Below are 27,516 nucleotides of genomic sequence, written 5' to 3' on the forward strand. Positions count from 1 at the left end.
TTGTATTTTTTAGTAGAGATGGGGTTTCACCGTGTTAGACAGGATGGTCTCGATCTCCTGACCTCATGATCCGCCCTCCTTGGCCTCCCAAAGTGCTGGGATTACAGGCGTGAGCCACCGCGCCTGGCTAGCTGTTTCTTTCTTTTTTTTTTTTTCTCAAGAAAAAGGTGTTAAATAATACAACCATTTCGGAAAATCTTTAAGCAGTTTCTTTTCTTTTCTTTTCTTTTTTTTTTTTTTTTGACAGGGTCTTGCGTTTTTGCCCAGGTTGGAGTGCGGTGGCGCTATTGGAGTGCGGTGGCACTATCTCGGCTCACTGCAAGCTCCGCCTCCCGGGTTCAAGCAATTCTCCTGCCTCAGCTTCCTGAGTAGCTGGGATTACAGTTGTGCGTCACCACACCCGGCTAATTTTTGTATTTTTAGTAGAGACGAGGTTTCACCATGTTGGTTAGGCTGTTCTCAAATTCCTGACCTGGTGATCTGCCCGCTTCAGCCTCCCAAAGTGCTGGGATTACAGGCGTGAGCCACCACGCCCGGCCTACTCAACTAATTTTTACATCTTTTGTAAAGAAGGTAATCTCGAGGAGCTGGGATTACAGGCGCCTGCCACCACGCCCGGCTAATTTTTGCATTTTTGGTAGAGACGGGGTTTCACCGTGTTGGCCAGAGTGGTCTCCAACTCCTGACCTCAAGTGGTCTGCCTGCCTCGTCCTCCCAAAGCACTGGAATTTACAGGGATGAGCCACCGCGCCCGGTCCAGCCTATTTTTCTTAAGATATCATTTGTGTTTTTTTCTTTCTTCCTAACTTACATTTTATAGGGTTTGCTGGTATAGTTTTTATAAAAAAAAAAAAAGTTGGGCCGCGCACGGCGGTTCATGCGAGTCCCTGCTATACAGGCCTTGAGGATTCTGCAGAGACCAAGATAAGCTGGGGGGCCTGAACAGTTTAGCAGGGGAGGCCGAGACTCCTGTAACAATCATGCAGTAGTTAATTACAGGGGGGTGAGTGCAGGGAAGACGACAGGGTGACAGGTATATTGCGTAAGTAGACACTGAGGCCCAGGGAAGCGCAAGGAATAGTCCAGAGACACACAGTCTGCGCTGTCACCGGCGGGTTCTCAAATTTGGCCCGCAGGGTCGGCGGCGCTGGGGCTCCCGGCCCGCGATTGCCACGCCCACCAGACCCGAGGTTGCCCCGCTCAACCCGGCCGGCCGTAGCCGCCAGTACCGTGTGGAAGCGTGAGAGTCGAGGGGTGGCACGTGACTGGCGGGGCGGGGCGGGGCTGAGGCGGTGGAACGCGCAGGCTAGTGGCTGTGTTTCCCGCCGGAGGCTTTTGCGCAGAGCCCCGCGTCCCTGGGGGGCGGCGGCGGCGGCGGCAGCGCAGGCGGCAGAGGCGCAGGCGGCGGAGGCGGCTGGGGGGTCCGGAAGTCAACACCATGTCAAGTCTGCACAAGAGCCGGTAAGGGGCCATGGGGCCTGACCCGGCTGGGCCACTCCTGGCCAGGCTGCCCCTTCTGCCCCTCAGAAGGGGGAAGCGCGGGTGTGGCCAGGAATCGGCAGACCCCCTCGGCAGAGGGTCTCGAGCGTCCACCTTCTAACCTCATTGCCTGTGGGCTGCAGGAACGACGGAGGGGCGGCCCTTCTCCTGCCCCTGATGTCACTGCTTCTGCCTCCCTCATCCTGGACCCCTGGTGTCCCCCTTCCCCTGAGTCTTCCTCATCCAGACCCCCATGCCCCGCCCCCGTGCCTTTCCCCCTTTTGATCCCCCTGCTCCCGTACTCTCTCCAAGTGCACCCTGTCCCCCGTGCCTTTTTCTTACTAGGATTGCTAGAGAACTTGCATTCTCCAGTCTGGCCCCTCCCCCAGGCCAGATCCTGCAGCATTGGCTGAATTTTGCTCACTCTTCAGTTTTCCTTCAGGACGTGTTTTTTAAACCCTTTGTCCTTGCCTTCTGGCAGGCCCAGAGGTCTTGTAATGGTTATATTTGTGAGCATGGTCCATTGTCTGCATATCAAATTACTCCTGGTTCCTGAGGTCCAAGGAGTTCAGTTGGTGGCTGTGCGTGGACCCGGCCTGGCCGGCAGGAAGTGCCCAGTAAATGTCAGCTCACTAAGTATTAGAATGTTGGAATATGTCTAATTTTATGGTCCTCATTTGGGAACTTCTAGACAAGAATATCTCTCAAGTTTCTTCCCTGGCATTCTGTGTTTCTGGTTGTAGAGGAAGAAGTGAAATATAGTTTTGTTGTTCTCCAAAGCTGTCTTTGGTGAGGACCTTGACTAAGCTGTGTGATTTTTATGTCCTAAAGGGGAGAGAGGCACAGGTTGGAAACTGGCAGTGTGAGGGAGCTGAGGGCTGTGGGTCTCACTGAGCCGATATCAGCATGCTTCATTTGCCGCCCTATCTCCCCTTCCAGAATTGCAGATTTCCAGGATGTCCTGAAGGAGCCCTCAATTGCATTGGAAAAGCTGCGGGAACTCAGCTTTAGTGGTAAGAAGCCATTCTGTATTTTCACGGTTTCCCTACAGCAGCCCTGTGGCTAGAATACAGGGGGAGGCCACACCTGGTCAGCTCTGGGGCCCAGCTGCTGGGGGCTGGGGCCTTGGAAGGAAATTACACACAGACTCTTGGGGCCTTTTCCAGATTCTGTAGAGCTGAACAGGCAGTGACTGCCTTGAGCTTGGAGGGGTTTCCCAGAGGGGCAGTGGCCACACTTAGCATGCCCTAAGCTTTCCTAAGCTTTCCGCAGGAGGTGCCAGATTCCTGAGAGTAACAGGACAGGACTGAAGCCTGGAGAATGAGAGTTGGGACCTTTTGAGCCCAGGACAGTCTTTCCTCATTCCTTAGCTAGCTTCCTGTGTTGGTGAGTTTGGTTAACTGCAGGGTTGTTCCTTGTTCTCTCCCTGGCTTGGGGTCTAAGCTGCCTGAACTAAACCTTGGCTAGTGGTAAAATGGGTAGCCTTGGGACACTGACTTTAAGGAGCTGATCCTGCTGTGTTAGACTTTGCCCCAATGAGCACAAAGATAACTCTCTTTTTGCCTGTTTTAAAAAATATCCCAACGTGTTCTGCATAGCTTCTTGTCACTTTTTTGCCCTTGTAACTTTGCCAGCAAGAACTTCTGGCCGGGTGCCGTGGCTCATGCCTGTAATCCCAACATTTTGGGAGGCCAAGGCAGGTGGATCACCTGAGGTCAGGAGTTCGAGAACAGCCTGGCCAACATGGTGAAACCTAGTCTCTACTAAAAATATAAAAAAGTAGCTGGGCTTGGTGGCACTTGCCTGTAATCCCAGCTACTCGGGAGGCTGAGGCAGGAAAATCACTTGAACCTGGGAATTGCAGTGAGCCGAGATTGCGCCATTGCACTCCAGCCTGGGCGACAAGAGTGAAGCTCCATCTCAAAAAAAAAAAAAAAAAAAAGAACTTCTTATATTGTCCCTGTCATCCTCATATAGATTCTGAAGTGGAGGTATTCACTCATGTTCATGGTACCAGGGATACTACAGCAGCAACTGCGGTAGTGAGCTTCCTGATCTTATTGCAGGATAACTTTGTCTTTCTGTTTAGGAGTGAAATATAGGCCCCAAAGGAGAGGCAGTCAGTGTTAGTAGTTAAGAGTTTTACAGATAAGTTTCCTTCTTACGACAATTACGTTAATCTTCCCTACTTACTGGGGTAATAATGAAGATTAAATGAAATAATATCTGTAAAGCACAAAATACTTAGCATTCGTAGCTTAGTTTATATTCCACAAATATGTATGGAATATCTTCTATGTGCAGTGCTCTGTGCTATGCACTGGGAATAATAGATGTGGTTTTTGTCCTTCTGGGGCTTACCCAGTAGTAGGGGTTACAGACGTTAAGAAAATACACCATATATATATATATATATATAATAATTCCACTTATGACAGATGCTATGAAATAGTCACAGAGCCATTATTGCTTATAACAGGGGGAACTGACCTGAATTAGGATGACATGGTGGTGGTAAAGGCTGCTCCTGAGGAAGGAATATCAAGGATGAGAAGGTGTTATCCTCAAAAGAACATTTCAGGCCGGGCATGGTGGCTCACACCTGTAATCTCAGCACTTTGGGAGGCTGAGGCAGGTGGATCACCTGAGGTCAGGAGTTCGAGACCAGCCTGGCCAATATGGTGAAACCCTGTCTCTACTAAAAATACAAAAATTAGCCAGGAGTGGTGGCACACATCTGTAATCCCAGCTACTTGCAAGGCTGAGGCAGAAGAATTAGTTAAACCGGGGAGGCGGAGGTTGCAGTGAGCAGAAATCACGCCATTGCACTCCAGCCTGGGCAACAGAGCAAGACTTTGTCTCCAAAAAAAAAAAAAAAAAAATTAGCATCCAGTCTAGGCTGGGTATGGTGGCTCACGCCTGTAATCCTAACAGTTTGGGAGGCCGAAGTGGGGGGATCACCTGAGGTCAGGAGTTCAAGCCCAGCCTAGCCAACATGGTGAAACCTTGTCTCTACTAAAAATACAAAAATTAGCTGAGCACAGTGGCGCGTGCCTGTAATCCCAGCTACCTGGGAGGCTGAGGCTGGAGAATCGCTGGAACTCGGGAGGCGGAGGCTGCAGTGAGCCGAGATTGCGCCACTTCACTCCAGCCTAGGTGTTAGAGGGAGACTCCATCTCAAAAAAAAGAAACCATCCAATCTAGTCATCTTTCTTGGGGAAATGATTCTTGAAGAAGTACTTCTTGCCCACTCTACTCCCCGCCAGTTGGCTCCACGGTGAAGGGCTGGGGGTTCTGGGACTCTGGCCTGGGGCATGACCTTTGCCTGCTGTGTCCACAGGCATCCCCTGTGAGGGCGGACTGCGGTGCCTCTGCTGGAAGGTGGGTGTGCCTGGGGTGGGGCTTCTGCTCTGCTGAGAGTCCCTGGGTTTTCCTGCATGGGCTGCCCCTACCCCTGGCTTCTTCCTCCTGTTCTGCACCTTTCCTTGCTTGTCTGAGGGAGCTTTTCTGGGAAGTCCTGGGTTTTCTGTTCCTCTTGGTGTCTTCTCTGGGATCCCCTTGGGGATGGGACACTTTGTAATGCCAACAATGAAGACCTCTGCTTCCTGGTCCGTGAAGTACAGTGAAAGTCATGCTTATTGGGACAAAACAAAGGCTGTGCTTTGCCCAAAGCTCCCAGCTCAGGTGGCCATGGAAGCCCAGTGTCCTGGTTTCCAGCCCTTTAGAGCACAGGGTCTGATGATCATGTGGAAGAGTCTGTGTGAGGAAAAGCAGAGGGAAGGGCTGGTTTGGGTTAAAGGAGGAGGGAGGCAGTGGGGAGGAAGGGGGAGGCTACCCCTAGCTCATGCTGGCATTCCTGGATTTTAGCCCATCTTGTCTTCTTGGGACTTTATGAGATGTTTTTCTTGAGGCCTGTCATCCCCGCCTAAAGACTGACGTTGGTGCAGGAGGGTCACCAGAGCTTTGCCCTTCTCCCTCTGTGCAGATTCTCTTGAACTACCTTCCCTTGGAGAGAGCCTCATGGACCTCCATCCTGGCCAAGCAGAGGTGAGACCCCGTGTAAGGGCAGTGACAGGAGGGCCCTTGCATGTGACAGAGCCAGTACCGCTGGGGCCGCCCTGCCTCCTGCGGCTGCTGCTCTGCTCTGGGCTCCCTGGGCAGGACCGTTGGGAATCATCCTTCTCACTTGTCTCCTGCAGGGAGCTGTATGCCCAGTTCCTGAGGGAAATGATCATCCAGCCTGGCATTGCCAAGGCCAACATGGGTGTGTCCAGGGAGGATGTGACTTTTGAGGACCATGTGAGTAGAGGTTGACAGCGGAGACCCAGGATACAGAATGTGGAGGGGTGGCGGCCTTGGAGCAGGCAAGGGCCCCTGCATGCCAGGGGGTAGGTGCAGTCTGGTGTCAGTCCCCTCTGGACCTCCCAGTTCCTCCTTTCTGCGTTGGGTCACTAAGCTTGGGGGCCCTGGGCTCAGTAAGACAAACGATAGTTGGGGTCCAGGGAGCATTGCAGGGGCAGCCCTGCGTCAGGTGCTCTGAGGACATGGTCTATTTCAACCCTCATCCCTGTTCCTTGAAGAAAGTCAGAGCAGGGCGGGAGGGAGGCTAAGCTGCCAGGAAGCCTTGTTCTCCTCAAATGCTGAGCTCCTCCCTGGGCTTCACAGCACGTGAGAAAGAAATCGATGGGCCCCAGGCCCAGACTCACAGATAGGAATTGACGACTCAGAGCATCGATGAATGAGAGCCGAAGAAACCAAATTCATTCATTCAGCAAGCAAACATTTACTGAGCACCTGTTATATGCAAAGTTCTTGAGCTAGAGCAACGGACAGAAAAGGAACAGAGTCCCTGCCCAGCAGAGAAGTCCTCAGAGCTGGTCCCCAGGCTGGGCTCCCGGCTGTGGAGTTTGAACGGATTCAGGAGGCTGAGGGAAGGGCTGTGTTGGCTCCTCTGAGTATCTTGCAGGTGGTGTCAGGACCACACCTCAGTGTGCAGTGGGATTGTTGCAGCAAGGCCACTGCTCAGGTTTCCGGGATAGAATCGGGCCCCGGGGCCTAGCTGGGCCTTGGACAGAGCATCTTCATTTCTCCCCACAGCCACTCAACCCCAACCCTGACAGCCGGTGGAACACGTACTTCAAGGACAACGAGGTGCTGCTGCAGATCGACAAAGATGTCCGGTAGGCAGGGTGCCTGGGGCCGGGAGCTGGCCCATGGGACTTCTGGGGCTCTCTGCAGCTCTGTCTTTTCCATTTGCAGGCCGGGCCTATGGGTGAGTGTTTGCGGAGCTGCTGGTGGATTGTCCCAGCGGTTGGGTCCAGGCACTATTGATGATAGGCTGAGAACGAGGCTAGCGAGGGAGATTCTGTGCTTGCATGTACCTGGCTGTTCTTATCTGAGCTGTAGTTTCATTTGTACCCCAGGTGTTTATGGATTCATCTGACATTCATTCAACAAGTATTGAGCCCCTTTTGTGTGCCAGGCTTAGCACTAAGTTCAGGGTTGAGCACTGGTGTGTTCCCTCTCCTTAAGGATCTTAGAACCTAGAAGGGAGGATGGCAAGACAGACATTCAGCCCATTAGATCTTAGCAGATGGCATTCGTGGTAAATGCTCCTGAAGGAAAATTTGAGGGGGTTTGGGGAAACCTCACCTGAGAAGCAGTGATTCAGCTGAGATCTGAGGAGTGGGAGGCCTCAGGGGAAGAGTGCAGCAAAGGCCATGTTGGGCAGGGAACTGCCCTTGGCAAGGTCCAGAGAGCCCGCAGAGCTTGGCACATCTGAGGAACAATGCCAAGGCCAGGGTGGGAGATAGGGGCTGGACCTTGGACTTGATTCTAAGAGCATGAGGCAGCCATGCAAAGGTTTTGAGTAAAGGAGTGACAGGGTCAAATACACAGTTTTTAAAATCTTGAGCTACAATGTGTTTGTGCTTTTCCACTTGGTAAAGAAATGTGGAGATGCTGGCTGTGCGGCCCTGTCGGGCTGGGGAGTTTGGCAGCGTGTTGGGCTAGGTGAGGAGCTAGAAGGCAGGCCTTGTCCACAGGTGGGTGGAGTGGCCAAGGGCTTGGGTTCTGGAGTCCATTTGCCTGGTTTCCATTCCGCATTTACCAGTTGTTAGCTGTGTGACCTTGGGCAAGTGACTCACACCTTCTGATCATTACTCTATTGTGAAGTAGGAGTAAGGTGGTTCAGGCTAAGGGCACAGAACGGGCTGGGTCTCCACAGATACGTGGGACTTAGCACTTACAGAGGCCCTTAGAATGATCAGATCTCCATCAGAGAAGGGTCCTGGGAGCTTATCCTGTTCCTTTTACAACAGCCTGCCTGGGACCCCCGGCACTTGGTTAGACAGAACAAGCTGGCACTCTGACCCGCAGTGACCCTTCAGAATCTCCAAGGGGCAGCTCTCAGGTGCCCAAGTCAGTCTGCACCAGTACAGACAGGTGCCCCTCCATTCAGCTCCTTCTCAAGGAATGGCCGAGTGCCGGTGTCAGAAGGGGTTTAGGAGTGAGCAGGACTGAAACAGTCTCTGCCTTCTGAGAGCTTCCAGTGTAAGTCAGGAGACATATACTAAACCTGGAAACAGATATGTAATTGCAAATACTGTAGTGCTGTGAAGGAGGGAAAAACTGGTGCTTTTAGAGAATCAGAGGGAGGCCCTGTTTTCCTTTGGGGGATCGAGGAAAGCCTTTCCAGGGAGGAGGCTCAGGATGAGATATGAAAGAGGAGGAGGCAGCAAGCTGGGTGGAAGAGTCTGCTGGGCTGAGGCACAGCACATGAGAGTGCCCTGTGGCCGGGGAAGAAGGCGCATGGCAGGATAAAGCAGGGTCCTCCTTTCCCTTGCCACCCTGGGTGCTGCTCCTCAGCCCAGGCTCATCTTCAGATGGCCCCATGTGACCCCCGCACAGGGCAACTCAGCCAGGCTGCAGGAAAAAGGAGGCACTGCCTCTTGTGCTCTCAGGCTAGGGTTGGTGCAGTGTTTACCCACGAGGTGTTCTGATTGCTGTGTTCAAGTCAAGAACCACTCCGTGACCTGGGGAAATAGGTTCTGTTTTTTTGTTTTCTGTTTTTTTTTTGTTTTTGTTTTTGTTTTTTTTTGAGACAGAGGCTCCCTCTGTCACCCAGGCTGGAGTGCAGTGGTGCAATCTCGGCTCACTGCAACATCCGCTTCCCGGGTTCAAGCGATTCTCCTGCCTCAGCCTCCCTAGTAGCTGGGATTACAGGCATGTGCCACAACGCCTGGCTGATTTTTGTATTTTTAGGAGAGACGGGGTTTCACCAGTTGGCCAGGCTGGTCACGAACTCCTGACCTCAAGTGATCCACCCGCTTCAGCCTCGCAAAGTGCTAGCATTACAGGCATGAGACACCATGCCTGGCCAGGTTCTGTTTTACATGGGTAGTGATCCTTTGGTGCTTCTAGAAGCGTGTTTGCAATGTGCTAAGTATAAGAAGTCTGAAAAATGTGCGTGTACTGCAATACATATATTTTAAAAACTTGATCACATTCTAGACACCATCTCCCAACTTGTTTTCCCTCTCACTCTGTCTTGGACATCTTTCCAGTTCAGCTGTATAATATTCTGTTGTACAGTGTGAAACTTATGGAACCAAATCTCTTTTGCTACTACAAACCACCCTGTGTTTGTGCATGTTAGATAATTTTTTTTTTTTTGAGATAGGGTCTTGCTCTGTTGCCCAGGCTGGACTGGAGTACAGTGGCTTGATCTTAGCTCACTGAAGCCTTGAACTCCCAGGCTCAAGTGATCCTCCTGCCCCACCTCCTGAGTAGCCAGGACTGTAGGCACATGCCACCACACCCAGCTAATTTTTTTTTTTTTTTGAGGTGGAGTCTTGCTCTGTTGCCCAGGCTGGAGTGCACTGGCGCAATCTTGGCTCACTGCAACCTCCGGGTTCCAGTGATTTCTCCTGCCTCAGCCTCCTGAGTAGCTGGGATTACAGGCACATGCCACCACACCTGGCTAATTTTTTGTATTTTTAGTAGAGATGGGGTTTCACCGTGTTAGCTAGGATGGTCACCATCTTTTTTTTTTTTTTTTTTTTTTTTTTTTTTTTTTTTTTTTTGGGAAGGAGTCTCACTCTGTCACCCAGGCTGGAGTGCGGTGGCACGATCTTGGCTCACTGCAAGCTCCGCCTCCCGGGTTCACACCATTCTCCTGCCTCAGCCTCCTAAGTAGCTGGGACTACAGGTGCCCGACACCACACCCAGCTAATTTTTTGTATTTTCATTAGAGACGAGGTTTCACCGTGTTAGCCAGGGTGTTCTTGATCTCTGGACCTCGTGATCCGCCTGCCTTGGCCTCCCAAAGTGCTGGGATTACAGGCGTAAGCCACCGCACCTGGCCCCAACTAATTTTTTTTACAGATGGGGTCTCCTTTTGTTGCCCAGGCTGGTCTTGAACTCCTGGGCTCAAGTGATCCCTCCTGCCTTAGCCTCCTGAAGTGCTGGGATTACAGTGGTGAGCCACTGTGCCTGACCTAGATAAATATTTTTACATGGAAATATGTTTGGAGTTTAAAAGAGGAGTTAGGTTGTATGACCATAATGACACTTTAAAAAAAAAGTATATATCTATTTGCAAATACACATAAAATGTGGGCATGTATACATATACAATGACTACAGCTTTTTAAAAAAATACTGTTTTTAAAATAAAATGTTGTAATTGTTGTTGTTATTATTATTTTTTTGAGACTGAGTCTCATTCTGTCACCCAGGCTGGAGCGCAGTGGCGCGATCTTGGCTCACTGCAATCTCCTCCTCCCAGGCTCAAGCAATTCCTGTGTCAGCCTCCCCAGTAGTTGGGATTACAGGCACCTCCCACTGCGCCTGGCTAATTTTTTTTTTTTTTGAGACGGAGTTTCGCTCTTGTTGCCCAAGCTGGAGTGCAATGGCACGATCTCGGCTCACTGCAACCTCCGCCTCCCAGGTTCAAGCGATTCTTCTGCCTCAGCCTCCTGAGTAGCTGGGATTACAGGCATGCACCACCACGCCCGGGTAATTTTGTATTTTTTTAGTAGAAACGGAGTTTCTCCATGTTGGTCAGGCTGGTCTCAAACTCCCGACCTCAGGTGATCCGTCTGCCTCAGCCTCCCAAAGTGCTGGGATTATAGGCGTGAGCCACCGTGCCCAGCCAATTTTTGTATTTTTAATAGAGGCAAAATTTACCATGTTGGCCGGGCTGGTCTCAAACTCTTGACCTCTAGTGATTCAAAACGTTGTAATTAAAAACAAACAATGCTGGCCAGGTACAGTGGCTCATGCCTGTAATCCCAGCACTTTGGGAGGCTGAGGTGGGTGGATCACGAGGTCAGGAGATCAAGACCATCCTGGCTAACATGGTGAAACTCCATCTCTAAAAAAATAAAAAATTAGCCGGGCGTGGTGGTGGGCGCCTGTAGTCCCAGCTACTTGGGAGAATGAGGCAGGAGAATGGCGTGAACCCGGGAGTTGGAGCTTGCAGTGAGCAGAGATCGCTCCACTGCACTTCAGCCTGGGCGACAGTGCAAGACTCCATCTCAAAAACAAAAACAAAAACAAAAAACAATGCTTTTGGGGAGTCTTGGGGTCTCCTGGCAGATGGGATGGCGAAAACTTCCACCTTGAGTAACAAGATTATTTCCTGTTCCCTCTTGACAGGAGGTTGTGCCCAGACATTTCCTTCTTCCAGAGGGCCACTGACTACCCTTGCCTCCTCATCCTGGACCCCCAGAATGAGTTTGAAACCCTTCGTAAGAGAGTGGAACAGACAACACTGAAATCTCAGACGGTGGCCCGGAACCGGAGTGGGGTCACAAATGTGAGTGCCAACCTGGGGTCCCCAGGGACTCCCCCAACAGTATTTTCTTTCCTTTTTCTCTTAAACTCCTGGCCACAAGGTGTCGGGCCATGACCATCTGCTTGACAGTTACTCAGCGCAATCCTGATGCTGCCAGATCCTGGGGTGCTTTCTAAAAGTTGGGTAACAGAGGTTCACTGTGTCCCATCTGGGTGTAATGGCTGCTGGGAAGGGCCCTGCATCACAGTGAGTGAATGAGCCAGGCTTCTAATCTTATAGTGGGGATGGCTCTGAGAAGGTCATTACAAATGTGAGAAAATGTGATAGGGCTGGGCACAGTGGTTCACGCCTGTAATCCCAGCGCTTTGGGAGGCTGAGGCAGGAGGATTGCTTGAGCCCAGGAGTTCAAGACCAGCCTGGGCTACATGGTGAAACCCTGTCTTTACAAAAAATACAAAAATTAGCTGGGCATGATGGCATGTGCCTGTAGTCCCAGCTACTCAGGAGGCTGAGGTAGGAGGATGGTTTGAGCCTGGGAGGCAGAGGTTGCAGTGAGCCTACATCACACTACTGCCCTCCAGCGTGGGTGACAGAGCCAGACCCTGTCTCAAAAAAATAAAAATTAAGAAAACGGCCAGGCACAATGGCCCATGCCTGTAATCCCAGCACTTTGGCAGGCCAAGACAGGCAGATCACTTAAGGCCAGCAGTTCAAGACCAGCCTGACTAACCCGGGGATTTAACCCCATCTGTACTGAAAATACAAAAATTTGGCCCTGGCCAGGTGTGGTGGCTCATGCCTGTAATCCCAGCACTTTGGGTGGCCGAGGTGGGTGGATCACCTGAGGTCAGGAGTTCAAGACTAGCCTGGCCAACATGGTGAAACCTTGTCTCTACTAAAAATACAAAAATTAGCTGGGCATGGTGGCAGGTGCCTGTAATCCCAGCTACCCGGGAGGCTTAGGCAGTAGAATTGCTCGAACCCGGGAGGTGGAGGTTGCAGTGAGTCTAGATTATACCACTGCATTCCAGCCTGGGTGACAAAACGAGACCCTGTCAAAAAAAAAAAGAAAAGAAGAGAACATTCCAGGTGGAGAGGAGGGCATATGCCGAAGTCCTCAGCGGGAGAGAGCGTGGTGTGTTCCAGGTCAGGGAGGCCACGGGGTGGCTAGAAGCAGAGAGCGAGTGAAGAGGTTGGTGCTGGTAAGGCCACTTGGGGCCTTTGTCATGAGGGGTGGGGAGAATCCTTTACAGCAGTGTAAGCAGGGCAGTGACATAATTCACATCTGCTTGTGTCGGAAATGCTTTAGGCACTGTGGAGATACAGGAGTGGCGGTAGAGAGGCTACCTGGAAGGCCACTGCAGTTGTCTAGGCAAGAGGTGGTGGGGGCAGGGATGCAGCAGGGTTAGATCTGAGAGACTCTGGGTGGAACTGATAGGACCCCCAACTTTTAATAGATTCCTGTCACTCTGAGAAGCTCCTTGTAGTCAAACAAGTATATTATCTTATTCCTTAATTTACACCCCCTACTTTGGTCTCTGGAATAGTGGCTTGTTCCCCTAAACTTTTCACTGTCTTCCATCAATGGAAAAACCCTTTTCTGTAGCCTCCAACAAGCTAGGGCAGATACTGCTGCAGAAGTTTTTCTCCCCCTGGGGAATGACTTTGTTTTTTGTTTGTTTGTTTGTTTTATTTTTTTAAATAGAGACAGAGTCTTGCGATGACACCCAGACTGGTTTTGAACTCCTGAGCTTAAGCGATCCTCCTACCTGGGCCTCCCAGAGTGCCAGGATAACAGGCGTGAGCCACCACACCCAGCTGGAAATGACTTTGATCGAAGCTCTGACAGGCAGGGGCAGATATGGCCGATCCAGGGTTGCAGGTGCCTACGAGAGTTGGGTGCCCAGCAGAACTGCTGTGCAGTGCAGATTGCGTGACTAGATAACCAGGAGGCTGGCTTTGTGGGCAGTACTCTTGGCTGCTGATTTCCTGGCTGAAGGGCCGGGAGGGGACTGGCTCCTGTCATTCCTTTCACTGTAGTAACTAGGTGTAAAGAGCACTGTTACCTGGTTTAACTTTTGGTCCTGGTAGCAGAGAACCCACCAGAAACTTCATCCCTAAGCCTCTGGGTTCGTGATTGGGCAGTTTGAGTTAAAGACCATCTGTGTGACTCTGGGCAAGTCACACATATCCTGGCCTTTGTTTCCTAGACCATAAACTGGGCATAATCATTTCTGCCCTGCCTGAGCTGCCAAGAGGATGAAATGAGGTCATGGCTGTGCAGATTCTTCAAAAGCAGAAAGCCCTGGGCATCCTCAGGAGGCAGCCTGCCCTGAAGTCCTGGACCTTAGGTTTGGGAGTCAGCCAGTTCAGGGTCAAGTCCTGATGCCAACACCTAATGTTAGACATTTAAGGAGTGGCCCGACATTTCTGAGCCTCAGTTTCCTCATCTTGAAAATGATGTTGAGAGAATATTTTAGATTGTTCAGTGGATTAAATGGAGGAATACCTGTACAGCATTGTCTGCCGCATAAAAAGCTCTTGTTAAGGGCCAGGCGTGGCTCACGCTTGTAATCCCAGCACTTTGGGAGGCTGAGGCGGGCGGATCATGAGGTCAGGAGATCGAGACCATCCTGGCTAATATGGTGAAACCCCGTCTCTACTAAAAATACAAAAAATTAGCCAGGTGTGGTCGCAGGCGCCTGTAGTCCCAGCTACTCGGGAGGCTGAGGCAGGAGAATGGCGTGAACCCGGGAGGCAGAGCTTGCAGTGAGCCGAAATCGCGCCACTGCACTCCAGCCTGGGCGACAGAGCGAGACTCCGTCTCAAAAATAAAAAATAAAAAAGCTCTTGGTAAATGTGGCTGATGTGTGTCTGTGTGTGTGAACATCCCTGCATGTGTGCGCATACATATGTATGTGTATGTTAGGGGAGAGAGAGTTTAATGTCTCCAGGACCCTATGCTTCCAGGATGGCTTCATCCACTGTCACTGCCTGGGTTCTCGCATATGGGTCACTCACCTCTGGAGCTTCCGCCTGAGCAGGCCTAGGGCCGGGCCCAGCACTTGATTTACAAAGTTCCCAAGGGATCCTGGCAGGCAGCTGGTGTTGGGGACCCGTGCTCATTGTAGGAGTCTTCAGTAGGGATCATCATCTCTTTATTTATCTTCCAACTTTTTTTTTTTTTTTTTTTTTTTGAGACAGTCTCGCTGTTTCTTCCAGGCTGGAGTGCAGTGGCACAATCTTGGCGCTCTGCAACCTCTGCCTCCTGGATTCAAGCAATTCTCGTGCCTTAGCCTCCTGAATAGCTGGGATCATCGGCGCGTGCCACCACACCTGGCTAATTTTTGTATTTTTAGTAGAGATTTTTGGCCAGGGTGGTCTCGAACTCCTGACCTAAAGTGATCCACCCACCTCAGTTTCCCAAAGTGCTGGGATTACAGGTGTGAGCCACTGTGCCTGGCCTCCAACCTTTTCTTATGAAAATTTTCAAACATTCAGGAAAGTTGAAAGGAGAGTACACTGGATAACTATCTGTATACTTTCCATCTAAATGCAACAGTTGTTAACGTTTTTCACATTGCTTTATTTGTGTGTGTATTATATATAGAGAGAGTAAGTTGCAGGTGTCTGACCTTTTACCATCGAGTACTTCGGTAGGATCTCCTGAGAATAAGGGCATTGTCAGCCAAGTGCGGTGGCTCACACCTGTAATCCCAACACTTTGGGAGGCCAAGGCAGGTGGATCACCTGAAGTCAGGAGTTTGAGACCAGCCTGACCAACATGGTGGAACCCCCTCTCTACTAAAAATACAAAACAACAACAAAAAAATGCCAGGCGTGGTGGTGAGCACCTATAATCTCAGCTACTTGGGAGGCTGAGGTGGGAGAATAGTTTGAACCTAGGAGACAGAGTTGCAGTGAGCCAAGATCACTCCATTGCACTCCAGCCTGGGTGACAGAGCAAGACTCCATCTCAAAAAAAGAAGAAGGGCATTCTCCTACTTACCATTAGCACATCTGGGAAGATTAACCATGAGTCCATAATATCACCTGATACCCAACCCATGAACAATTGAGATGTCCTCAGCTGGTGCCAGTGGTATCTTTGGATATTCTCTTTCTTTGGTCTCTTGATTTGGACTAGGCCTCCCCTCCCCAACCCCATCCCCTCAACAGCTGACTTTTTGAAAAGGCTTGGCCAGCCTGGACGCGGTGGCTCATGCCTGTAATCCCAGCACTTTGGGAGGCTGAGGCGGGCGGATCACGAGGCCAGGAGTTCAAGACCATACTGGCCAACATGGTGAAACTCTGTCTCTACTAAAAATACAAAAAATTAGCTGGGCATGGTGGTGGGTGCCTGTACTCCCAGCTACTCAGGAGGCTAAGGCAGGAGAATCACTTCAACCTGGGAGGTGGAGGTTGCAGTGAGCTGAGGTCGCACCACTGCACTCCAGCCTGGGTGACAGAGCAAGACTCTGTCTCAGGGGGGCAAATAAAAGAAAGAAAAGTCTTGGGCTTGGCCAGTTGTTTGTTTTTGACATATTTAAGATTTTTTTGTTTTTTGTTTTTTGTTTTTTTTTTTTGAGACGGAGTCTCGCACTGTCACCCAGGCTGGAGTGCAGTGGCACGATCTCCACTTACTGCAAACTCCGCCTCCTGGGTTCATGCCATTCTCCTGCCTCAGTCTCCCGAGTAGCTGGGACTACAGGTGCCCGCCACCACGCCTGGCTAATTTTTTGTATTTTTGGTAGAGACAGGGTTTCACCGTGTTAGCTAGGATGGTCTTGGTCTCCTGACCTCGTGATCTGCCCACCTCAGCCTCCCAAAGTGCTGGGATTACAGGCGTGAGCCACCGCACCCAGCCTGTTTGTTTTTTGAAATGGAGTTTCACTCTTGTTGCCCAGGCTGGAGTGCAATGGTGCAATCTCGGCTCACCACAACCTCCGCCTCCTGGGTTCAGGTGCTTCTCCTGCCTCAGCCTCCTGAGTAGCTGGGATTACAGGTATACGCCACCACGCCTGGCTAATTTTTTTGTATTTTTAATAGAGACAGGGTTTCTCCATGTTGGTCAGGCTGGTCTTGAACTCCCGACCTCAGGTAATCTGCCCGTCTTGACCTCCCAAAGTGCTGGGATTACAGGTATGAACCACCGTGCCCGGCCCTAAAGTTTTTGTTTTAAATTGAAATGTAACTTACGTGCAATTACGTGTACAATTAGAGAATGTTTTTCTTGTGTGTGTACCTGTGTAAGTGCCAGTCAGTCAAGATACAGAACATGTCCACATCCAGAAAGTTCCTGCATGCCCCTTCCTAGTTAGTACTTCTCACTGCTCTGACTTTTAGCACCATAAGTTAGGTTTTAGGACCATTTGTTGTATTGCAGAATGTCCCATATTCTAGGTTTGTCTCCTTGTTTCCTCATGGTGGCGTTTGACTTGTTCCTCTGTGCCAGTGTATGTCCCATATGCTAGATAGGTCCAGGCTTAAAAGTAAACATTTACATTTCTGGCAAGAACACATTGTCCTCCTTCACATTGTCCATTTTTTTTTTTTTTTTTGAGACAGTGTCTTGTTGTCACCCAGGTTGGAGTGCAGTGATGTGATCATAGCTCACTGCAGCCTCAGCCTCGTGGTCTCAAGTGATCCTCTTGCCCCAGCCTCGCAAGTCGCTGGGACCACAGGTGCGTGCCTTCACACTCGGCTAACATTTACATTTTTTGTAGAGACGGGATCTCCCTATGTTGCCCAGGCTGGTCTTGAACTCTTAGGCTCAAGTGATCCTCCTGCCTTGGCCTCCAAAAGTGCTGGGAATACAGGCATGAGCTATTGTGGCCCGCCCATGTTGTCTCTTTTTTTGTTTTTGTTTTTTTCTCCTGAGACAGGGTCTTGCTCTATCACCCAGGCTGGAATGCAATGGTGTAATCACGGCTCACTGCAGCCTCGACCACTGGGGCTCAGCTCCCACCTCAGCCTCCCAAAGTGCTGGGATTTCAGGCATGAGCCACTGACCCCAGCATTGTCTTTCTTGATGGGCTCCTCCTCTTCTCCTCCAGATGAGCTCCCCACACAAGAACTCTGTGCCATCATCCCTAAATGAGTATGAGGTGCTGCCCAATGGCTGTGAGGCCCACTGGGAGGTGGTGGAGCGGATCCTGTTCATCTACGCCAAGCTCAACCCTGGCATCGCTTATGTGCAAGGCATGAATGAAATCGTGGGGCCCCTCTACTACACCTTTGCCACCGACCCCAATAGTGAGTGGAAAGGTAAGAAGGCTCTTGGTGCCCACATCCCTCGTTGCTGGCCCGTGTCAGGCTGTGCACCTCACTTTCCCTCTCGGGCCTCTGTTCTCCCTCTGCCAGATGAGGAGTTGGCCTGGATCATCTCTGAGATCCTTTGCAGCTGTGATCTTCTAGAATGTTGGTTGTTTACTGATCTCTTGATATTTGTAATTTAATTCTGATAGAGAAGGTGGATATGTAGGAAGCCGAATTATAAGATTTAAATAATGATTTTTAAATTGTCATCAGGAGAGTGTGTAATAAACTGCTAAGTGAATGTACAGTATTGCCAGATGTGAGAAGAAAGAGGCGATGTCTTTAGCCTGGGGGTGGAGAGGGGTCAAGGACAGAGGAAGGACTGAGCCAGACCATGAGGATGGGGCAACTCGGCGGGGCTCAGAGCAGGGCAGATGTCTGGTAGGTGAGAGGTGGGGTGGGCCTGGAGTGCGCCACTTCTGCCCCCATCCTGCTCTCTCCCAGAGCACGCCGAGGCAGACACCTTTTTCTGCTTCACCAACCTCATGGCCGAGATCCGGGACAACTTTATCAAGAGCCTGGATGACTCGCAGTGTGGCATCACCTACAAGATGGAGAAGGTTTACTCCACCTTGAAAGATAAGGATGTGGAGCTCTACCTGAAACTGGTGAGGACCCCAGGAACAGACGGGTGGAAAGGGACAGGAGGCAGAGAGTTGCTGTGCCATCCCAGCCCAGGGCGAGGTCTCGCTTGAGTCTGGGGGTCAGAAGTAGCTGCTGCTGCTGCTGCCCGGGACGCTGACCCATGTGCTGAGGCAGCTGATGGTGGAGCCCAGCTGGGAGGGAAGGGGAAAGTTGAGAATGGTGCCCATTGTGTGCCAGGCATACTGCAGGGCATTTACTATGAACTAAATTGGTTAAGCTGTTAGTAGTCTTCTGAGGTAAGTGTTAACTTCATTTTTTTTTTTTTTTTGAGATGGAGTCTCGCTCTGTCGCCCAGACTGGAGTGCAGTGGCACAATCTCGGCTCACTGCAAGCTCCACCTCCCAGGTTCATGCCATTCTCCTGCCTCAGCCTCCCAAGCAGCTGGGACTACAGGCACCCGCCACTGTGCCCGGCTAATTTTTTGTATTTTTAGTAGAGATGGAGTTTCACTGTGTTAGCCAGGATGGTCTTGATGATCTCCTGACCTCGTAATCCACCCGCCTCGGCCTCCCAAAGTGCTGGGATTACAGGCATGAGCCACCGTGCCCAGCCCTTTTTTTTCTGTTTTTTTTTTTTTTTTTTTTTTTTTGAGAAGGACTCTCTCTCTCAGAGGCCAGGTTGGAGTGCAGTGGTGCAATCTCAGCTCACTGCAACCTCCGCCTCCCAGGTTCAAGCAATTCTCATGCCTCAGCCTCCCCAGTAGCTGGGATTACAGGCGTGCGTTACCACGCCTGGCTAGTTTTTGTATTTTTAGTAGAGATGGGATTTCGCTGTGTTGGCCAGGCTGGTCTCGAACTCCTGACCTCAAGTGATCCGCCTACCTCCCTCTCCCAAAGTGCTGGGATTACAGGCATGAGCCACTGTGCCTGGCTGGCCAGGAATAATGATATCTTTTTAAACAAATATGGGTTGAGTGTGATGGCTCACAGTTGTAATCCTAGCACTTTGGGAGACTGAGGCGGGAGGATCGCTTGAGCCCAGAGGTTGAGCAACATAGTGAAGCTTTGTCTCTACAAAAAATTTAAAAACAAATTAGCCAGGCATGGTGGCACAGGCCTGTAGTCTCAGCTACTCGGGAGGCTGAGAGAGGAGCCCTCGAGGTCAAGGCTGCAGTGAGCCATCCATGATTGTGCCACTGCACTTCAGCCTAGGCAATATAGCGAGACCTCATCTCTAAAAAAAAAAGGAAGTATGCTTTTGCTGTTTTGTAGCATGCTTTTTCAGTTAATATTCACTGTGGCTGACCAGAAGGCTTGTCTCTACTGGGAATAATTGCCTGTGGAATTGTTCTGTGGATTAAATGAGTGAGAGGACATATTTAATATTCTAAGCATAGCCCAGGCTTTTAGTAAGTGCCCTGTGATGGTCACTCAGCACATCCACAAACCCAAGGCTATCATCTGCAAAGTGTGTGAAAAGAGTTTGAGCCATCATTTATAAATCTGGAGAGCTTATTATATAAAGGTTTGGGTTTCCAGCTTCTCTTTAAAAAATAGGAAGATCTGAGGATGTTGGCTGGCAGCAAACAGGCTCCGCCCCTTTACCAGGCAAGGCTGTCCGGCAGCCTGGTGCCAGCCCTGGTGCTCACACCTGGCATGCTGGGCCCTGCTGTTCTGAATTCACTTCTGACCCACTGCGTGGTGCTCCATGGCCGGCAGCCAACACAGAGTCATGCCCCCCACCCCCCACGCTGTCTCCCCAGCAAGAGCAGAACATCAAGCCTCAGTTCTTTGCCTTCCGCTGGCTGACACTGCTGCTGTCCCAGGAGTTCTTGCTGCCTGACGTCATCCGCATCTGGGACTCCCTCTTCGCCGATGACAACCGCTTTGACTTCCTCCTCCTCGTCTGCTGCGCCATGCTCATGTGAGTGCGGGCATGAGCTGTCATCAGCTCACCTGGGCAGTCCTTGGAGAAGCCAGACAGGAGGACCCTCCGCCCCGAAGGGTGGGCAGGGCTGCTCTTTCATGGCTGGAGTGGGATTCTGGAGTCCTTGGGAGGGCGACAAACCAAACTTGAGGTGGGTAGGGAGGGAGGAGTGGGCAGGGCCTGCACTCAGAGCATCCCAGGTCCCAGCGCTTTTGCTGCTGCTTTTCATAGGCTGATCCGGGAGCAGTTGCTGGAAGGGGACTTCACTGTGAATATGCGGCTGCTGCAGGTAATGGGAGTTGGGGGCAGGCTCAGCCACTGCCATGAGGCTGGCACTCGCCAGGCACCTGCCCACGCCAGCTGCTGCGACAGGCTGGGCAGGGGCAGCGGAGTGTAGTAGGGATTAAAGTCCAGACCCCTGAGCAGATCTGGTTTGGATCTGGGTTTGAATCCTGGTTCTGCCACTGACCTGGAATGTTGGGTGGCCTTGAGCAAGTGACTTGGCCTTCAAACCGTGTACTCTACGTAGGTGTTCACACCTAGGACACAGCAGGTGCCCAGAACATGGCCGTGCTTGCTGGTGGCCATGCTCAGGCCCGGGGAAGGAGGGTGGGGTGTAGTGATTAAGAACATGGGCTCACCGGGCGCGGTGGCTCATGCCTATAATCCCAGCACTTTGGGAGGCTGGGGTGGGTGGACCACCTGAGGTCTGGAGTTCAAGACCAGCCTGGCCAACATGGCGAAACCCCGTCTCTACTAAAAATACAAAAATTAGCCGGGCTTGGTGGCATGCACCTGTAATTCCCAGCTGCTTGGGAGGCTGAGGTAGGAGAATCACTTTAACTTGGGAGGTGGAGGTTGCAGTGAGCCAAGATCGCATCACTGCACTCCAGCCTGGGGGACAGAGCAAGACTCTGTCTCAGAAAAAAAGAACATGGGCTCAAGGGCCTACAGCTTTAGGTCCACAGTTTTGCTCTGCTGTGCTCATCATGTGACCCAAGCCAAGTTACAGCATCTCTGGGTCTCAGCTTCTTCACCAGCACGTGGCCTTAGTGTTGCTTTGTTGTTGTTTTTTTTTTTTTGAGACAGAGTCTCGCTCTGTTGTCCAGGCTGGAGTGCAGTGGTGCAATCTCGGTTCACTGCAACCTCCACCTCCCAGGTTCAAGTGATTCTCCTGCCTTAGCCTCCCGAGTAGCTGGGATTACAGGTGTGTGCCACCACGTCTGGCTAATTTTTGTACCTTTAGTAGAGACAGGGTTTCACCATCTTGGTCAGGCTGGTCTCGAACTCCTGACCTCAGGTGATCCGCCCACCTCAGCCTCCCAAAGTGCTGAGATTACAGGTGTGAGCCACCAAGCCCAGCCTAGAGTTGCTTTTCCCTAACTTCATGGACCAGATCTGGAAAAAGTGCAGAATCACAGTGGCCACTCACAGGGCTGTTGGGACTTCGCGCTGATGCTCAGACACTGGCCCAGTCCTACTGGCTCCACACGAGGGAGCTCGGGTTCAGTGGCAGTAGTGGGAGAGCTGAGGCAGCACGGTCTGGTCCTGAGGAAAGGGCCGCAAGAGCCTGGGAGTGGTTGTGTTTGGATCGTTGAGTTGGTGCTGCATGGTGTAGCGTCAGCTGCATGCAGGGGTCTGGGGGTTGGGGAGTGTGGGATGCCTGGTGTTCTGTGCTCCTGCCCCTGAGGCCCAGGATCCAGCATGGCAACGGGTCCCAGCAGGGAGGGTGTGGGTGTGGCAGGGGTGAAGTGGCTTCAGAGGCAACTGTTGGCCTTTTCCTGTGCCCAGGACTACCCCATCACAGATGTCTGCCAGATCCTGCAGAAAGCCAAGGAGCTCCAAGACTCAAAGTAGCCCGGCGGCAAGAGGCCCATGTTCCGGAGAGAAGCCTCCCGACCCTGTGCCCTGGCTCCCGGGACACATAGAAACCTGTAGGAACCCAGCCTGAGGGGAAGCCACAGGATCGGCCCGAGACCCAGGCCATGCCCACTGGGGACACACTGTGCCGTGCTCCTTCTGCCGCCACGCCCAGCTCCCCACCTGCCCTGCACTCTGCCCTCTTTGCCCAGGATACTGAGGAGGGCTGGAGCTCGGGAAGTTGTCCTTCCTGGGCCAGGGCCGTTTCTGGCACTGGGAGGCTGGCAGGGGCCCCTCCCTGCCTCGGCTCTGCCGCCCCAGCCTCAGTTCCTGCTTCTGGTCTTCTCCTGGGCTCCACTCAGGGGAGGTGCTTGGCCAATGGGCCAGAAACCGCTTCTGAGCGGGGCACTTCGGCTGCTCCACAGGGAAGGCGACACTGAAAGCTGAGTCCTGCCGTCTGTCTCACCCACAGATGTCTGTAGTCGGTCGGTGTGAATGTGGGCCCAAGTCCCCAGGCATCTTCTCCGTGTGTGTGTGTGTGTGTGTGTGTGTGTGTGTGTGTGTGTGTGTGTGTTAGGGAGTGAGGGTCTCTCAGGCCTCCAGGTCTCCCAGCCCCTCCTTCTCTGTCTCTACCTCTCTGCCTGTCTCCTTCCACCTCCTTCCCAGAGTGGGACTGTGTCTTGCTTCATGATTCCTCTCTCCATTACTCTCCCTGCCCTTCTCTGTTGGGGTGCCTTATCCTGAGCCACCTCCTCTCCCCGCTTGCCTCTGCTCCCCTGAACCTGGGAGACAGATGAGGAGACTGGCTCAGCAAGGCCCCTGGAGGTCAAGCTTGGCCTTTGCCTCCTGTTCCCATCCCCCAGCCCTGGCTCCTAGGTCCTCCCAACTGGGAGGGAGTCCTCCGTGCCTCACTTAGAGGGTTCTGAACCCGTTCCCTACACAGAAATCTTGGAAACCAAATGCTGCTGAGTAAGGATGAAGCTTTGAGCCTCCTGCCCCTGCTTTCTGCCCAGGGAGGGAGAAGGAAGAGGGGGAGCTGGTTTTTCTGGAGGTTCCCCCAGAGGCCCTCCTGTCCGAAAAGAAAAGGACCTTGATTCTGAGCCCAGGGTCGGAACCCATTGCTTCAGAAGAGTTGTCATTCCCTCGGCTTCCAGGTCCCAACCCAGGGTTGGGTTGAGTGAGTCCCACAAAGGGCAAGTGGGGCCCGAGGAAGCCTCTCTGGGGCCAGGGGTAGCTGAGCTTAAAGGCCCTGGGTCCTGCCAGTTCCAGGAGGGCCATGTCTGTGCCTCTGTGTACCCCTCCACCCGCTGCGGGCTGAGGGAGGTGCAGGGCCTTCTCTGACCCCTGCCTGAGCTGTTCCCAGGGCTGGAGCAGGTGTACCCTGAGCAGGGGCAGCTGGCCACTCCCAGTTCTCACCAAGTCACCTCCCTCCTTGTACAAGGTTTGCGTCCGGAAGCCGGGTGCCATAGTGAGGACCCTCGTCCTCCAGACTGGCTGGCAGGAGTCAGGCCCCAGCAGCCCTCCTGCCCCCAAAGCTTTCCGAGTCTGGTGGGCAGGACTTCTCGCTGCCCTTCCAAGCCCGGCTTTGGGCCAGGAAAGGCTTCCCCAGGTGGCTCTTCTACCAGGCTTTTCCTTTGATGCCGCCTGGATTTCCGCACCTGCCTGTCTCCTCTCCCAGAGCACAGTATTTGGGAGACTTTGACTATTTATTCAGACTCCTGGCTATGTATTGCACATTGGCAAGTGCTCTGGGGATGAGGCATGGGTATAGGAAGGGAGAAAGGAGTTGGAGACAAGATCCTCTTCATTTTCCAAGATCAAAGTCAGCCTCTTCTCCCCATGCTTCTAGGAACTGCCTGGTTTTCGAGCAGGTCCTGGCTGAGCGGGCTCTGAGTTCTGTACTGGAATTGAGTGTAAAGATGGGAAGAGAACTGGGCTGACTCCAGGACCTCCAGGATGAGGCAGAGGCATGATGCTTCCTGCTCACCTGGGCCACCCTCTCTCCAGGACTTGTCAGCTGGTGGTTCAGCCCCTTCTCCAACCCCTTCATAAGCTTGGGCCACTGCCTGGGACCCAGCAGACACTGCCCAGGACTCTTTAGTGCACTCACTCTTGTCTGCCCCCTACCTTCCCTCCTGGAACCACACTACTTGAATCACCATTACTTTGCCTCGCTGGCAGAGTTGGGTCAAGTGCCCTCTCCTTGACCTTGAGATGAAGGTCAAGAGCACAGGGACCAGGCCTTGGTTAGGCTGAGCTCCCAGCAGGACACCGCCTGCAGAAAGGACCTGCCCTGATAATGTCCCTTCCCCAGATTCTCAAGCAGATGCCCAAGGGAGGTCCCCACAGAGCCAGAGTGCCTGAGGCTTCCTGCTTGAGAACCTGCCCCCTGGATCTTGGACACTTACAGATTGAGCTGTATGAATTCAGCGGGTCTCACTCCAGAGGGTCAGAACGTTTGCTTTAGTTTTTTCATCTGTTTTGTTCCTTGAGTCAGTGCTGTTGATGACGAGTTGTCTTGAATAAATCATGTGTTCTTTGCAATGGGCATTGGTGCTGTGATGAGCTGAAACTTTGGAGACCTCAGAACAGGGAAAAATGAACAGGGATGGAGTCAGAGTCTCTTAGAGTAGCCCTTCTAAGAAAAGGTCCAGGAAATCCTTCTGGGAAGAGCCTGTTGGATTCTTCCAGTTCAGCCTCAGCAGTCTGCAGCTGGGGGAGGAGGGAGTGAGTACTGGCTAAGGAGGTTCTGCATACATGATTACATAGCCTGTTATTTTTCAGATTTAAAAAAGCTTAGACCATCCATTATATGTGGAAAAAGCATTTGACAAAATTCAACATCTTTTCCTTATTTTTAATTTAATTTTATTTTCTTTGAGACGGGGTCTTGCTCTGTCACCCAGGCTGGAGTGCAGTGGCACGATCTCCACTCACTGCAACCTCCGCCTCCTGGGTTCAAGCGATTCTCCTTCCTCAGCCTCCCAAGTAGCTGGGATTACAGGTGCCCGCCACCACACCTGGCTAATGTGTATTTTTAGTAGAGACGGGGTTTCACCATGTTGACCAGGCTGGTCTCAACTTCTGACCTTGTGATCCGTCCGCCTTGGCCTCCTAAAGTGTTAGGATTACAGGTGTGAGCCAAGATCAGGAACAAGACGAGGATGCCCACTCTCTACTTTCATTCAACATAGTACTGGCAGTACTAGCCAGACTGGTTAAGCAAGAGAAAGAAAAAGCATCCAAATAGGAAAGGAAGAAGTGAAATTGTCTCTCTTTGCCAACAACATGATCTTATATTAGAAAAAACCCTAAAGACTTCACCAAAAAGCTGTTAGAACTAAAGTGACAAGAAACAAAATCAACAAACAGAAATCAGTAACATTTCTGTACACTAACAAACTATCTGAAAAAGAAATCAAGAAAAAGGCAGAAATAAAAAACTGAATTCAGAAAAAAAAAGACAAGAAATAGAGAAAATCTCATTCACAGTAAGTACCCCCTCAAAAAAATTATTTAGAGCCGGGCGCAGTGGCTCATGCCTGTAATCTCAGCACTTTGGGAGGCCGAGGTGGGCGTTTCACAAGGTCAAGAGATTGAGACCAGCCTGGCCAACATGGTGAAGCCCCGTCTCTACTAAAAATACAAAAATTAGCAGGGCGTGGTGGCACATGCCTGTAATCCCACTTACTCAGGAGGCTGAGGCAGGAGAATCGCTTGAACCCGGGAGGTGGAGATTTCGGTGAGCCCAAATCGTGCCATTGCACTCCAGCCTGGGCAACGAAAGTGTAACTCCGTCTCAAAAAAAAAAAAAAAAAAAAGGTTTAGTAACCATAACAGCATGATACTGGTGTAAAATAGACACACTGACCAAAGGAACAGAACAGAGGAGCCCAAAATGAACCCAGGCATTTGGGGGTGAATTGGTTATCTTTTCTTTTTTTTTCTTTTTCTTTTTTTTTTTTTTTTTTTTTTGAGACAGGGTCTTACTCTGTCACTGAGGCTAGAGTGCAGGGGCATGATTATGGCTCACTGCAGCCTTGAATTCCCAGGCTCTGGTGATCCTCCCTTCTCAGCCTCTCAAGTAGCTGGGACCACAGGCACACATCACCACGCCCAGCTAGGTTTTTATATTTTGTAGAGACAGGGCATCTTTGCATTGCCCAGGCTGGTCTCAAAACTCCTGGGCTCAAACAGTCTTCCTGCCTTGGCCTCCCAGTGTTGGGATTACAGGTGCGAGCCACTGTGCCAAGCTGTGTTTGTGGGGTTTTTTTTGTTTTTTTTTGTTTTTGTTTTTGTTTTGGTGCTGTTTTTGAGATAGCGTCTCGCTCTGTTGCCCAGGCTTGCTGCAGTGGCGCCAGCTTGGCTCCCTGCAACCTCCGCCTCCTGGGTTCAAGTGATTCCCCTGCCTCAGCCTCCCAAGTAGCTGGGACTACAAACCTACGCCACCATGCCTGGCTAACTTTTATTTATTTATTTATTTTTGAGACGGAGTTTCACTCTTGTTGCCCTAGCTGGAGTGCAATGTCATGATCTCAGCTCACTGTAACCTCTGGCTCCCGGGTTCAAGCAATTCTCCTGCCTCAGCCTCCAGAGTAGCTCGGATTAGAGACACATGTCACCATGCCCGGCTAATTTTTTGGGTTTTTTGTTTGTTTTAGTAGAAACAGTTTTACCATGTTAGTCAGGCTGGTCTTGAACTCCCGACCTTAGGTGATCCACCTGCCTCAGCCTCCCAAAGTGTTGGGATTACAGGCATGAGCCACCACGCCCTGCCTAACTTTTGTATTTTTTTAATTGAATTTATTTTTATTTATTTATTTATTTATTTATTTTTGAGACAGAGTTTTACTCTTGTTGCCAGGATGGAGTACAATGGCGCGATCTTGGCTCACTGCACCGTCCACCTCCCGAGGTCAAGCAATTCTCCTGCCTCAGCCTCCTGAGTAGCTGGGATTACAGGCGCCCGCCACCACACCCGGATAATTCTTTTTGGAAGTTTAGCAGAGATGGGGTTTCACCATGTTGACCAGGCTGGTCTTGAACTTCTGACCTCAGGTGATCCGCCCACCTCAGCCTCCCAAAGTGCTGGGATTACAGGCGTGAGCCACCACACCCAGCTGTATTTGTGTTTTAAGCTAACTGTTACTACAAAAGAGTCCAAAAGTTTAAAAAAATTAGAACATTTGTAGGCCAGGCACGGTGGCACGCCTGTAATCCCAGCACTTCGGGAGGCCTAGGTGGGCAGATCACGAGGTCAGGAGATGGAGACAATCCTGGCCAACATGGTGAAACCCCATCTCTACTAAAAATACAAAAGTTAGCTGGGTGTGGTGATGCCCGCCTCTATTCCCAGCTACTCGGGAGGCTGAGGCAGGAGAATCGCTTGAACCTGGGAGGCGGAGATTTCAGTGACCAGAGATGGCACCACTGTACTTCAGCTTGGTGACAGAGTGAGACTCTGTCTCAAAAAAAAAAATAAAATAAATAAAATAAAAATACAAAAATTAGCTAGGCGTGGTGGCAGGCACCTGTAATCCCAGCTACTC

The 27,516-nt window shown here is 51.4% G+C and overlaps 1 protein-coding gene across 4 annotated transcripts, besides 2 other annotated features; it reads left to right on the plus strand.

Moving 5' to 3' along the window:
* Positions 986-1,475: a silencer, noted in NCBI's record as "silent region_20352". NCBI's record gives its function as "represses an Ori minimal core promoter by ATAC-STARR-seq in GM12878 lymphoblastoid cells {active_cell/tissue: GM12878}" and the evidence as "EXISTENCE:reporter gene assay evidence [ECO:0000049][PMID:35858748]".
* On the plus strand, positions 1,338-24,515 carry TBC1D13 (TBC1 domain family member 13). 4 transcript variants are annotated; one of them, NM_018201.5, is made up of 12 exons: positions 1,338-1,461; positions 2,419-2,492; positions 4,820-4,860; positions 5,465-5,526; positions 5,679-5,778; positions 6,577-6,659; positions 11,140-11,299; positions 17,335-17,545; positions 18,041-18,204; positions 19,944-20,104; positions 20,339-20,396; positions 21,899-24,515. In NM_018201.5, exons 1-12 carry the CDS (start codon positions 1,439-1,441, stop codon positions 21,962-21,964), a joined length of 1,203 nt encoding a protein of 400 aa, NP_060671.3. In that variant the 5' UTR covers positions 1,338-1,438; the 3' UTR covers positions 21,965-24,515. The 4 variants fall into 4 exon arrangements, with proteins under 4 accessions (NP_060671.3, XP_047279435.1, XP_005252117.1 ...); XM_047423479.1 differs by having other exon boundaries at positions 20,007-20,104; XM_005252060.3 differs by lacking the exon at positions 4,820-4,860.
* Positions 25,877-26,050: a silencer, noted in NCBI's record as "fragment chr9:131574071-131574244 (GRCh37/hg19 assembly coordinates)". NCBI's record gives its function as "represses an EF-1alpha promoter that drives an FKBP-Casp9 reporter gene in an ReSE screen in K562 erythroleukemia cells {active_cell/tissue: K562}" and the evidence as "EXISTENCE:reporter gene assay evidence [ECO:0000049][PMID:32094911]".

Source organism: Homo sapiens, chromosome 9 (genome assembly GCF_000001405.40).
Source record: "Homo sapiens chromosome 9, GRCh38.p14 Primary Assembly".
NCBI lineage: Eukaryota > Metazoa > Chordata > Mammalia > Primates > Hominidae > Homo > Homo sapiens.